Source organism: Homo sapiens, chromosome 3 (assembly GCF_000001405.40).
Source record: "Homo sapiens chromosome 3, GRCh38.p14 Primary Assembly".
NCBI classification, from domain to species: Eukaryota; Metazoa; Chordata; class Mammalia; order Primates; family Hominidae; genus Homo; species Homo sapiens.
Genome location: NC_000003.12, coordinates 177,079,685 through 177,093,953, shown reverse-complemented (window position 1 = coordinate 177,093,953; position 14,269 = coordinate 177,079,685). Strand labels below are relative to the sequence as shown.

The following is a 14,269-nucleotide window of genomic DNA, read 5'->3' as shown; positions in this document are numbered from 1 at the left end:
TGTTGCATTTGCTTTGGGGTTCTTGGTCATGAAGTCGTTGCCCAAGCTAGTGTCTAGAAGGGTTTTCCCAATGTTATCTTCTGGAATTCTTATGGTTTCAGGTGTTAGATTCAACTCTTTGATCCATCTTGAGTTGATTTTTGTATAAGGTGAGAGATGAGGATACAGTTTCCTTCTTCTACATATGGCTTGCCAATTCTCCCAGCACCATTTGTTGAATAGGGTGTTCTATCCCCACTTTATGTTTTTGTTAGCTTTGTCGAAGATCAGTTGGCTGTAAATATTTGGCTTTATTTCTGGGTTCTCTGTTCTGTTCCATTGGCCTATGTGCCTATTTTTATACCAGTATCATGCTGTTTTGGTGACTATGGCCTTATAGTATAGTTTGAGATCAGGTAATGTGATGACTCCAGATTGGTTCTTTTGGCTTAGTCTTGCTTTGGCTATGTGGGCTCTTCTTTGATACCATAGAAATTTAGGACTGTTTTTTGTACTTCTGTGAAGAATGATGTAGTATTTTGATGGGAATTGCACTGAATTTGTAGATTGCTTTTGGCAGTGTGGTCATTTTCACAATATTGATTCTACCCATCCATGAACACAGGATGTGTTTCCATTTGTTTGTGTCATCTATGATTTCTTTCAGCAGTGTTTTGTAGTTTTCCTTGTAGAGGTCTTTCATCTCCTTGGTTAGGTATATTCCTAAGTATTTTATTTTATTTTTGCAGCTACTACAATAGCTGTAAAAGGGTTTGAGTTCTTGGTTTGATTCTCCACTTGGTTGCTGTTGATGTATAGAAGAGTTAGATTTGTGTAAATTAATTTTGTATCTGGAAACTTCGCTGAATTCATTTATCACTTCTAGGAACTTTTTGGAGGAGTTTTTAGGGTTTTCTAGGTATACAATTATATTATCAGCAAACAGCAACAGTTTGCCTTCCTCTTTACCGATTTGGATGCCCTTGATGTCTTTTCTTGTCTGATTGCTCTGGCTAGGACTTCCAGTAAGTACTATGTTGAATAGAAGTCATACCACATATTCTTTATCCATTCATCTGTTGGTAGACATTTGGGTTGCTTCCACCTCTTGGCTGTTATGAATAGTCCTGCTTTGAACATGGATGTGCAAATCTCTTTGACATCTTGATTTCAACTCTTTTTAGAACTGGAATTCTTTTTGGGATCTCAGAAGAGGGATTGCTGGATCATATGGTAATTCTAGGTTTTTTTTTTTCCTTGAAAAACTTCTGTACTCTTTCCAGAGCAGCAGCACTATTTTACATTTCTACCAATAGTGCAACAGGGTTCTACACACTGGACAACATTTGCTGTTTGTTTGCTAGTGCCCATCTTAATGGATGTGAGGTGCTGACAATAATTTCTTTACACTACCAACTATCTACTTAGCTTCAATTTTTCTGAACTGCTCCTAATATGTTTTTACAGAATCAACAAAACTTATACATTATGTTTGGTTACTGTGTATAGTTATGCTTCTACCTATTTTTTCCCTTTTATTTGTCCTGTGAAGTTTTCTACATTCTGTATTTTATTAATTGGATTCCTGTAGTATAATGTTCATCTTTTCCTTATATTTTCTGTAAATTGGTGGTTATAGCTAAAGGCTTCATCTAATGAATTAAGATTAATCTAATCTTAATTTAGGTTTTTTCCTTTATTATTTTGGGAGGTTGGGGTGGCAGAATATTTCACAGGTGGTGCTAAGTATAGATGGAATACCTCTAATCTGAAATGCTCCAACATCTGAAATTTTTTGAGCACTAACACGACACTCAAAGGAAATACTCATTGGAGCATTTTGGATTTCACATTTTCACAATGGGAGCGCTAAACCGTTATACTGCAGATATTTCAAAATCTGAAACACTTGTAGTCCCAATCGTTTTAGATAAAGGACACTTACTGTATGCTTGCATAAGGAAGCACCCAATGTTTGTTTTTTATTCCTGACAGTAGGCGACATTGATGATCATTCCTAGAACCATTATTTCCATGAGGGCAATGAGAATGTTCATATTCAATTATATCAAGCTTTTATTATGTGTAACATTTCTATAAAGAGAAACTTTCCCCAACAGATATTTCGTTACTTTGTGGCACAGATTGCACAGGAAAGGCATATGAAATGCATGATTCTTTCTTTTATTTACCAGTTTTCAAAGTACTGAGTTGTTTCCTGGAAGCCTTTCTAGTATTCTTGAATACCTTTCTAGGTAACAAGTGAGGATTTTTTTGAGTTATTGTGAGCGTGTGGATTTAGGCATTTGATATGTTTTATTGACTGTAGTTTGTATTCTTATTGATGTCATTCCCTTGGCCAAAAGAGCCTTTTCAAGTTGACTTCTGAGTCTTTTCTGACATGACTCTAGTATTGTCTCTCTGGTAGCTTCCTTGCTTTCTGACAAAACAACATGTTGGCCAAAGCTCATCTTGTACATGTCCTTCATTGGTCCTCAGATCAGCTATGTCTCTAAAGTCCTGATTCCTTTTAGTGAAAAAGAATATTTATATATTTATGTTATATAATATGCAATAGTTAATATGTAAACATAATAGAAAATAATGTATTAAACAAAAGTAGAGTATAAATGACATATAAAGTACATGTACTTTATAAGTACTTTAAGTACATGTAAATGTAGAAAATAAACATAATATAAAATTATACGTATTTTTATATTTATAAATGTATATTTAACCAGTATGAGTAGTGACTGTTGTTTTCATTTTTCTCTTTTTGTCCACGTCTCAGTGGGATTACAGCTAAGTATTACGTTTTAAAGTAAGTCCTCATGTGTAATCTGCCCCCCTGCCCACCTCCAATTTGATATATAGTTGGGTCAGCTTGTCCCTCCCCTCCCCTATCTCCCCAATTCCTGCTCCCATTTCCCTTTTCTTCTTCCCTTCCCCTCTCCCTCTTTTCTTTTTCTTTCTTTTCTTCTTTTCAGCAGGGTGTCACTCAGTCACCCAGGTAGGATTGCAGTGGCCTGATCATGATTCACTGCAGCCCCGACCTTCTGGGCTCAATCGATTCTCCCACCTCAGCCTCCCAAAGTAGCTGGGACCACAGGTGCATGCCACCATGCCTGGCTAATTGTTTTAACTTCTATTTTATTTTATTTCGAGACGGAGTCTCGCTCTGTCGCCCAGCTGGAGTGCAGTGGCGTGATCTTGGCTCACTGCAACCTCCGCCTCAATTCTTCAAGTGATTCTCTTGCCTTGGCCTCCTGGGCAACTGGAACTACAGGTGCGTGCCACCATGCCCAGCTAATTTTTGCATTTTTAAGAGAGACCATGTTGTCCAGGATGGTCTCTGTCTCCTGACCTCGTGATCCACCTGCCTCAGCCTCCCAAAGTGTCTTGATTACGGATGTGAGCCACTGCACCCAGCTGATTTTTTTTTTTTTTTTTTTTTAGTAGAGACAGTGTCTCCCTGTGTTGACCAGGCTGGTCTTGAACTCCTGGGCTCAAGCACTCCTCCTGGCCTCAGCCTGCCAAAGTGCTGGGATTACAGGCCTGAGCCACTATGCTGGGTCCAGGCCAATTTGTTTCATTTTATTTTTAGTATTTAGAATTTAAAAATATTTGTTTTTATTTTGTTTTATAATCATAGGAAACATTTATATCACTTCAAAGTGAGATACATTCTTACTTCCTCCTTTTGTAAGTAACCAAGTTTTAAAAATCAAACTATTTTTGGTTTATCTTGCTCAAATGTAAACAAATCCATGGGTATTCTTAAATATTCTGGAGATCACTTCATAGCAGGACATAGAGATAGTCTTTATTCATTGTTTTACAGCTGCATTCTACTCCATTACACAGATAGCTGTTTCAAGAGTGGAAGTTTTTAGATAGGAGCATGAAATGTGCATGTCAATTTGCCAGATTTCCTTCTGTAAAGCATTATGCCATCTTATGTTCCTTTCAGCAATATACGAGGTTCCCTCTTTCCCCATTAGCAGACAGTATATATGATGTCTTTTTTGATACATATATGTCTTTTAATCTGATAGGTGAGAAATAGTATTTCACTATGGTTCTAATTTGCATCTTTTCATTTATTTTATAACTGTTTGCTAGTTTATTTTAGAACTGTTTGCATATCTTTTTCTTTGAACTGTTCCACAGATAGATTCTTATTTTCCAGAAAAGTCTACCAACTGTGTCGATCAATCCCCTGAGCCCTTCTATTTCCTCTTGTTCTGTTTGTATAGTCATCCCACAACTTCTAAAAATTAATTTGGTTTAACAACAGGACTCTTCCACAAAGAATAGAATGATGCTGAGCAGTTCTCTTAGGTTTGATTCTTGAGGAACCAGACCCTTGATTATAACCCTTTATTGGAGAGGTGGATCTAGAAAGTTCCTGTGGAGAAGCCAGAAAGGGAAAAGGAGGCTGATACCGACTGCCTGAAAGACTAATTTTTTTGTTCAGTTGGACTCAAATCATGTGGCATCCTCGGGAACAGTGTAGAACATGTCTCTTTTTCCACCTAAGGGGCAAGGAACCTCGGGTAATTTGTCCACTAACCCCCATTCCTTAGTCTGGGAGTTAGGCAGTTAGGCTTTGCGGAGGGCAGGGCAGCAGCTCCTGACCTGCTGTTTGGCCTCAGGGTGCTTTGCAGTAAAAAGCTACCCAGCTGCTTGGGAAAGTTGAGTGATGAGGGAATGTGGGCTGGGCCCTGCTGGCCTCTTCTGCATTGATGAATATTCTGGTCTACTGACAGGTACATTTCTCAGTGTAATTAGTAAATCACCTCTTTTACTCATAAACCACCCTGCTGTATTTTGTTAACATATCTTCTCTCAGAACTTGATTATTCTTAAAAAACTGAAAGAAGTTATGACTTGCCAGACTGAAGACAAGACCCCAAGGAGTTGTGACCCTGCCAACAGGTCGCTGCCGAGAAAGAGTGTGGTACATAGCGAGGAGTCAATGATTATTACCTACTTATAAATGTAGCATCCATAAATTAATTTGTTCTATTTACTGTAGGAAAGTTCATTGTTACTTTCATTTTTAATCTTTTACCATCATGATTAGGAACTGGTATTATTAAATGTGAAGAAAGAAGGACATTGTCGCATGATATTGTGTGAACCATTTTCATTTGGTTGAGAATGTATGCCTCTGGAGAGCTGATTCCCAAATCAACAGTAAGAGGGTTACATTGAACACCTCTTAGTCTCTAGGCTTTTCTTTTCTTTTTTTTTTTTTTAAACAAATGAAGAAAAGCAGAGCACACACAAATTGGAGTTATATTTAACTGATTCCTTGTATCTTTGTCATTAGAGGCTGAAATAACTGAGCCTAAAATGGAAGCTGTGAAAGACTGTAGTATCACGTGAAAGGCAGAGAAAGCTTGGCTTCTTACATGGATTTAATCTTTACACAGGTTGAGCATTGGTTATCCAAAATACTTAGGACCAGAGTATTTCAGATTTCATATTTACTTGGATTTCGGAATATTTGCATATCTATAATGAGATATCTTGGGGATAGGATCCAAGTCTAAACACGAAGTTCATTTATGTTTCATATACTCCTTATATATATATAGCCTGAGGGCAGTTTTATACAGTATTTTAAATAATTTTGTGCATGAACCAGAGTTTTGACTGTGACTTGTCATATGAGATCAAGTGTGGAATCTTCTGCTCATGGCGTTATGTCACTGCTCCAAAAACTGCAGATTTTGGAACATTCTGGATTTTGAATTTTTAGATTGGGGTGCTCAATTTATATTAACTGTGATAGAACTTGTTATGGTGAATTACTATTTTCATTTTAAAACATTTTTCATGTTTCAAATAATTTTGCTGTCCTTTCTATAAATTCTCAGTGTAGGCACTATTCAGGAATAAAATACTAGCTGTCTTACCTCGAGAAACACAGAGTAGTGTGAGAGCAAGGACATATACCCACAATAGAGGGATAGATGTTTAACACGGTAATGTTAAAACAAAAGGTGTCCTATCACTGAATATTATCTGGCTTATTTTTAAGTTTTCCTAATTTTCTTTGGGTGTACTATATTAAATTTGGTCTTACTAGATTTTGACTATTTGGGGTTGGACAGCATGGTCCCATATAGCCATAAAATTGGAAACTGAAGGCCATTTCTTACTTCAATGGTGTATTGAAGCCATTTGAAGACTCCCCGCCCCCCATTCTTTTTTCCTTTCATTCATCCATCCGTCCAGTGGATAAGATTGCATGATTTAAAAAAAAAAAATTTTGCTTGAGACAGAAATTAACATGCTAAAGTTAGTGTGTAAAGGACAGGAACTTCTAGTTTCATACAGGTTCTGTTTGTTTGCTTCTTCAACTTCTGTCCTTTTTCTTAAGCCAGTTAATTTTAGTTATATCTTTTGATTTATTCCTGGTTCATAGAAACAGAAATCCTTCACCATGCCTATTTTCTCTCTTTTTCTATGATTTACTAGCACCTGTAAGGAGAGTTTTTAAAACAAAAAGGTTGGAATGCTAAAGTTCTTAATTCACAACCCTCTATATGTTAGGCCTTCATTTCCTGTCAGATGTTTATTGGGATCATTTTGAGTTTATTACAACCTGATATTTTTTAAAAAAGTGACTTAGAGCCTAAGGGCTTATGATTATAGAACAGATTACATAGAGGTACTTTAAACATGTAAGAGAAAAATGCCAAAAACCATTTTGATTAGTTTAATTTTTTTTTTAAATAAAAAAGTAAGTAAAAATCAACCCCAAAATGGAAGGGTTAGTATAGTTGACCCTTGAACAACACAGGTGTGGACTATGTGGGTTCACTTCTACTTGGTTTTTTTAAAAGTACAGTTGCATCTAGTATGCCTGCCTTTCTGCCTGTCTGTCCTTCCACCTCTTCTACCTCTCCCACCCCTCAGACAGCAAAACCAACTTCTCCTCAGCCTTGTGAAGAGGATGAGGACCTTCAGGATGATTCACTTCCATTTAATGAATGGTAAATATATTTTCCATATGATTTTTTAAATAACCTTTTCTCTAGCTTCTTTTATTGTAAGAATACAACATCTAATAGCTACAACATGTAAGGTGTGTGTGTTTATGTTACTAGTAAGACTTCTGGTCATAACTAGGTTGTTAGTAGTTAGGTTTTTGGGAAGTCGGAAGTTATATGTGGATTTTTGATTGGGTGGGTTGATAAAACCCTAACTCCTGCTTTGTACAAGGGTCAACTGTATATGTTCCGTGATAGAGAGTAGTTATCTTACTTAAATATTGTTATAACCATGTAAAGTTGTTAATATCTGTTTCATTGGTGAGAAAACCATTATTTTTCTTAAAAAAAAATTGTGGGCTCTAATTATAGTAGAGAGATGAAAATTTATTTCAGAAAAGAGACTTCCGTTGCTCCAACCCCATGTCATGTAACAGAGCAGACACTTTCATTACCCCCTGAACATACAGCTTGTGTATGTATGTATGTAAGACAGACTACCCATATTGAGACACCTTGGCCCTTCTTTTCTATTGGCTCCCCTCCCCCACCGTTTCATGTCTGTATTTAGACTTACCCAGTATGGTAACCACTAGAAATACGTAGCTGTTGAACACTTGGACATAAGACTAGTCAGAATTGAGATGTGCTGTAAATGTAAAATGCATGCTGGATTTTGAAGACTTAATTTTTTAAAGTAAAATATCTCAATTTTAAACTATTGATTATAAGAAATAATATTCCAGATACATTGGGTTACATAAAATATTATTATTAGAATAAATTCTGCCTGTTTCTTTTTAACTTTTTCATGTGGCTACTAGATAATTTAAAACTTACGTGTGTGGACTTGGCTAGTGCTAATATCTGGGGAGACTGGAATGACTTTCTGAGGGTTCCTAAAATTAGATATTGGGACTGTGTTACAAAGCTAAGTAAGTTCTCTTGTTTAGTTCTCATTTTACAAATGAAGAACTAATGTTTAGAGAAGTGATTCCATATCATATACTTTGTCATAGTTACAGAACCAAGAATTGAACCATTATCTCATTTGCACTCCAGCATTCTTTTAAATTTTGTGTAACACAGATTGTGTAGAGGTGAATCGTGAGAGTTTTTGGTGGACCTCAGGCACCCATAGAATAATAGGATTGAAAGCACCTTGATGACAGGTCTCTAGATTTTTTCATTACTTTTGAGAGCTAAAGATATTTGTTATTTTGGGAAAATTTTCTTTTATTAAAACAGAATTTTATTGTCATCTATATGTAATCTCTTATTCAGGAAGATCATAGTGTTTGCTATCATTTTCCTATACATCCTATTGTCTTAGAATTTTTTCCCATATTTTTTCAGTCATAAAGTTTTCATTTGAAAACTTTTTTTTATCGTGTCTACTTCTGAGAACTTGTGTTTCCTGTCCCTTCATGGGCATCTTTGAGAATTCTGACACCTGGATCATCTCAGGATTAATATCTGTTATTGTCTTTTCCTTTGAGAATGATCAGATTTTCTTCATCTGTACCATTCCTGGAGAATGTTGTTTTTAAATGAAAGCAAGCAATTAACATTGATAGGCTCAGACTCCCAAGTTCTGTGGCACCCATGGGCAGTGGTTCCAATGTCAGTTCAGTTTTCAAAGTCTTTGCTAAGCTACTATGAGTCTGCTTCCTGATTGAGCCTCTCAGGAGTTAGTATGGAACCTGAAGGTGATTTGTGTCTTCAGTTCTCAAGACCTTTGTAGTGCTTCTTTGGGTATGTTCCACATGCACATCTTGGGATGAATTTGGAACTTGTGTTGGTTCATAGGAAGAATTGCAGGATCCACTTCAGCTCTCTCTTAGGGATTTATTCTTATGCTTTTCAGTTCCTGGAGGCCTCGTTTTTTCTGATTTAGTTTCGATTTTTTGATTGAAAGAAACTGGCTCAATCTAGCTGGTGAAAGTTGGGGGGAACACCAAAAAAGTAGGCCAATTACAGTGTTGAACAAGTGTGCTCAGAAGAATAGTAGAGAGTTATAATTCCACAAATGGAGTAGTGGCTGCTATGGAACAAATCCTCCCACAAATAGTAACTACAATTTCTGGACAACATATGAAAAACAAACATTATGAGGACACCATAGAACAAACCTGTTTCAGAAGTCAGACCGGATTGGATTCTTAAGAGAATGGCATTGGAGTTTCCTGTTATTGACGGATCTTTGCCTGAGGACAGGTTCCCGTTGGCAGAGGAATTAGAGAATTGTTCAGAACTAACATTGCACTGCAGAGTAATGGGGTCCAGCACAGGAAAGGAGGAAATCCAGGAAGAAGATACCCATAGAGGTGGAGTACCAAATGTGGTTTATAAACTCTCCTAAAATATGGGGTTGACCCCCAAACTGGTAACAGTTCAAGTATCTATAAACCAAGAAAAAGGATTATCAAGTTGCTGTATGTGTACAATGGAATACTCCTAAGCAATAGGAAGGAACCAAGGCATCGATGTCTGCAGCAACTTGGATTAATCTCTGAAACATTATGCTGACTGAATTAGTCTTCACAAAACAAGCCATCATATGTGATTCTACATATATCCTAAAACCAGACAGACCTCATCTATTGTGCATGTGGGGTGGGACAGCCAAAACGAAGTTATGAAAGGGAAAGAAGAAGAGGTTGGTAGGTGGTAGGAATGAGTGGTGAGGACAGGGATTAAGTGGGGAAGTGCATATGGCAGCTTTCTAAGGCATTGGCAATGTTCTGTATTCTGTTAGGGATTTACGTTACTCAGGTACATACGTTTGTTAAAACTTACTGAATGATATAGCCAGTATATGTCCGTTGTATTTTGTGTAAGTTTTTTCTTTTCTTTTCTTTTTTCTTTTTTTTTTTTTTTGAGACGGAGTCTCGCCCTGTCTCCCAGGCTGGAGTGCAGTGGGGCAATCTGGGCTCACTGCAGCCTCCGCCTCCTGGGTTCAAATGATTCTCCTGCCTCAGCCTCCCAAGTAGCCGGGATTACAGGTGCCCGCCACCACGCCCAGCTAATTTTTGTATTTTTAGTAGAGATGGGGTTTCATCATGTTGGCCAGGCTGATCTCGAACTCCTGACCTCGTGATCCACCCGCCTCAGCTTCCCAGAGTGCTGGGATTACAGGCGTGAGCCACCATGCTTGGCCAAGTTTTTCCTTTAAAAAAACAAAAACAAAAACAAAAAAAAACCATTACTTGATGGGCAAGTTGCAGTATTTACAGAAGTATACTGATGACTGCAAGTTCTTTGAATAGATGTATTAACAACAAATATGAGGAAATGTTAATTTTAAATTGTAGGTGGTAGCTATGTGGATATTCATTTTTTTTCTATATGTTTGAAAATTTTCATAGTAAAATGTTAAGATAAAATAGAGACCAGTGAATGATATTTCTCGAAGTCAGATTCCTGTTAATATGTTGTTTTTTTATGGCATTCATCAAAATTGATTTCTTTAAATTTGAAAATAGTTTAAAGAGCTTATCGGTAACATTTTTCTGCCTGTGCATTAAGCTGTGACCTGCTTATGATGCAGAAAGATAGAGAAATATGAATAAATAAAAGCAAGAAGACAAAACATACATACTAACTTGATCGTTTCAAAATGATGTAGCAAAGACTAAGGTCATTTCTAATACAGACATTTGGAGGGGATGGATACATAATTAGACTGTGCTCAGATTCAAGTATGATTAATGGGAGATGGAATTCATGGAATTGGTAATTTCGAACAGGTTTTTGAAAATGCTATGGGAGGAAATTATTAAGAGTTTGTTTCCACTCTCTTAATTGACCAATAGTCATTTATGGATTATGGCTTAGGACACTTTTTTCAGTGTGTTGTATTTATTTTTCAAAAAAAAATGCTGTATGATTTTTATTGTGGAATTATTAGCGAGATTGGATTGATTAGAATTTATTTTAAAATATCTCTTTGGAGGCCGAGACGGATGGATCACGAGGTCAGGAGATCGAGACCATCCTGGCTAACACGTTGAAACCACGTCTCTACTAAAAGATACAGAAAAAATTAGCCAGATGTGGTGGTGGTCGCCTGTAGTCCCAGCTACTCCAGAGGCTGAGGCAGGAGAATGGCGTGAACCTGGGAGGTGGAGCTTGCAGTGAGCCCAGATGGTGCCACTGCCCGTCAGCCTGGGCAACACAGCAAGACTCCGTCTCATATTCATATATATATATATATATATATATATATAATCTCTATCTTAGAAATTTAGTAATAGTCTGTTAGGGAGTTGTTGGATTAAAAAGCCACTGTGACAGGATTTTATGGTTCTTTCATAAAGTTTTGAGAGACAAGTATAGTTGTATTAAAATTCAGTGCTGTAACATCTAGTGTTACGCATAACTGTTACAAATACCAGTTCATTTTCTGGCCTCTCTTAATTTGCTGTTAGGAAAGTTAATCTGATAGTTATTCTGATAGGCTCAATTTTTAAATATATGTATCAGATTAAATTGTGAGTGGGGATGAGAGAAAAGTAAATATTAGTATCAAAATATAATTTGTAATTACAAGATATAAGATTTTTAAATTTATTTCATTTTTCTCTCTGGTATTTTTTTTTGAAGTACCTCAATTTTAAATTCATTTTAGAACATAACATGAAATTACTTGATGTTATAAGGGTTTGATATTTTTCTAGCAACCAAAAATTTGGACTTCTTTTTTGGTCTTTTGTCTTTTTATCACTCCAAATATACTGCAATAATTTTTTTGTTTAAATCACCATTTGTATATATTATAACTTTCTCAAAGTAAAAGTGCTATGTTGTGCGTAGCTCTAGCCATTTTGTTGTAAGAATTCTATATTACTGATACCTAAAAAAGGCATTTTGGTCTTAGAGAAAATTGTGTTGTATGCTGACTTTGGAGATGGTAGAATTGCAAGTGTGTGTTCATGCCTTCCAGATAGAAATTTAGTGGTGAACAATCAAGGGGGTTTCACACTGTGTACCAGCTAGTTATTTAAACATCAAATTCTCCTTAACTTCTAATTTTAGTACCAGTGTCTTCCTAGAGGAGAATATTTTACCCAAACAGAAACAATAGTTCAGTTAGACTTAAATTTTATATTGTATATTATATATACAATACTGTAATTATACTGACTAAAGACAATACTATTAATTGTATCTTATAATTAGTAGTTGTATTTTCATTATTAAATATCTTTTTTTTTTTTTTTTTGAAGTCAGGGTCTTGCCTTATCTAGTCAGGCTGGAGTGCATGCAGCGCAGTCACGGCATACTGCAGCCTCAGAGACCTCCTGGTTTCAAGTGGTCCTCCCACCCCACCCTCCTGAGTAGTTAGGACTACAGGCATGCACTAATATTTAAAACTCTTTGTAGAGATTAGGTCTTGTTATGTTGCCCAGGCTGGTGTAGAACTCCTGGGCTCAAATGATTCTTCTCTCTCAGCCTCCCAGAGTGCTGGTATTAAAGGTGTGAGCCACCACAACCCACCTGTTATTAAATATCTGAATGTTTAAGTCTCTGAAAAAAATGATGGACAAGGTAAGATAGATGGATAAAATTGCTGAAAACAGCTCATGATCAAAATAGAACCCTAAAGAGTTATCTGTATATCCATGTGATTTCTGTTATTTGCCATCATAATACCAGAATCAAAATGAAAAATAAATTTCATGTAAATGAAAGTTTTGTTTCAAAGATTTCTATCACAGAGACACATTGATATTACATCCATCTTAAGACTGGCCAAGAACAAGAGAGAAATCTTATTAATGATTCTGAATGTCGTATTAGGAGATACTATGTATTGCCAAGGTGAAATGTTCAAATGACTAAGTAGTGGACTTGCATGTGTGTCAAGTTATTTTATAATCACTTTAGGTAATTTGCATTTAAGAAAAACTTTTAAAAACAAGCTTTTTCCATATGAATGTTTCATCATATCTTTACATCCTTTAAAAGTTGATTTCTAAGATTTTCTTGATTGTAGAGATACGTTTACTGGTTCTCATATCCTTGAAGTGTTAAGTCTGCCAGGTAAGAACCTTAGCATCAACATAAGCAATGAAGTATAAAGGAACAAATAAATATAAAGTAGAACATCAGCTGATCTTTGAACTTAAAGCTAGTTGTTAAGTTTGTCAGACCCTGGAGGATTTGCTAGAACCAGGCAGTTAATTGTATTTAGGTAATTTAGTTAGAAAACCACAGTTTTTGAGGTACCAGGACCTATTGTTACTGATAGATGTTTGATTTCTTTCAGTATAGAAAACTTAAACATGGAGACACTCTTTTAAAAAAATGTTTCTGTGTGTCACTGAAAAAAAATATATATTTTTTCTTTCAGTTAGCTTTATTGTCAGAAGGAGAAGCCAGATTTCTATTTTGAGAGAACCAGAAAAAAGTATTATGAGTAGGGAAAATATGCTCATTAACACAGAAGGATATCACAAGCATACTTATTGTTTTATTGCATGTTAAATTTAAATAGTTTAATTTACTCTAATCATTTTTCTTGTCATTTTATTCTTTGTTCAGTTATTTCATCAGGGGCAGTTATGGGCACTTTATCACTTAAAGTAAGTACTAGCCCAAAGGTGTACTATTTTCTAGATTTACTTGGGCAGTCTGGCCAAAGGTGAATAGGTCTTTTCGGGCCATAATTTGGGTTACTCATTACTAATTCAGCTTAGATGTTAATGATAAAGCCTGATAATGTTACTAAGGCTGATATATTCTAAAAACCTTTCTAGCAGTTAAAAGTTAGAAAGCAATTGCTTTTTGCAATTTAAAATTTTGTGTATGTCCTTTTTATTGAGGACATAATTATGTCCTTATGAAAATTATTTTCAACCTTGTTCCCTACTGCTGTTTCCAGTGTTAACAGTTAAACCTTACTGTTAACAGAAATCTTACATTTGATTGATTCTTCCTAAATTCATCTTTAGGATCACTCAGTGTTAAAGCTAGAGGAGCCCTTTCAGATTATCTAATTCAGTACCCTCATTTTACAGATGAGGAAACTGAGGCCTTGGACTAGAACAGAGGTCTCCTGACTCAGTCCAGGACTCTTTCTATTACATCATGCGGCCTGATATTTGTCTTTATGGAACTCAGCAACATCACATACAGGGTGAGCTTTTTTTTTTTTTTTTAAATGAACACATAAAGTGATTTGCTACCCTCATTAGTTACTAGTCCTCATTCTTGTCTAACTCTTATTTTCCTTTTCTACCCATATTTATTTTAATTGATTATATAGACCCAATTACTTG

At 35.9% G+C, this 14,269-nt stretch overlaps 1 protein-coding gene across 18 annotated transcripts in view; it reads left to right on the top strand.

The window, feature by feature from the left end:
* TBL1XR1 (TBL1X/Y related 1) overlaps nt 1-14,269 on the top strand; it is a 182,457-nt gene that overhangs the window by 107,847 nt on the left and 60,341 nt on the right. For 2 of the 18 annotated variants that reach the window (XM_011513142.3, NM_001321194.3), the window contains one exon: nt 14,009-14,127. The exons of 12 other annotated variants lie outside the window; for them this stretch is intronic. The gene's annotated coding sequence lies outside the window, so the exon portion shown is untranslated. Of the gene's footprint in view, nt 1-2,773; nt 2,804-6,916; nt 6,990-13,532; nt 13,574-14,008; nt 14,128-14,269 lie in introns of those variants that run through there. 4 more of the 18 variants (XM_047448944.1, XM_047448946.1, NM_001374328.1 and 1 more) reach the window with 4 other exon arrangements.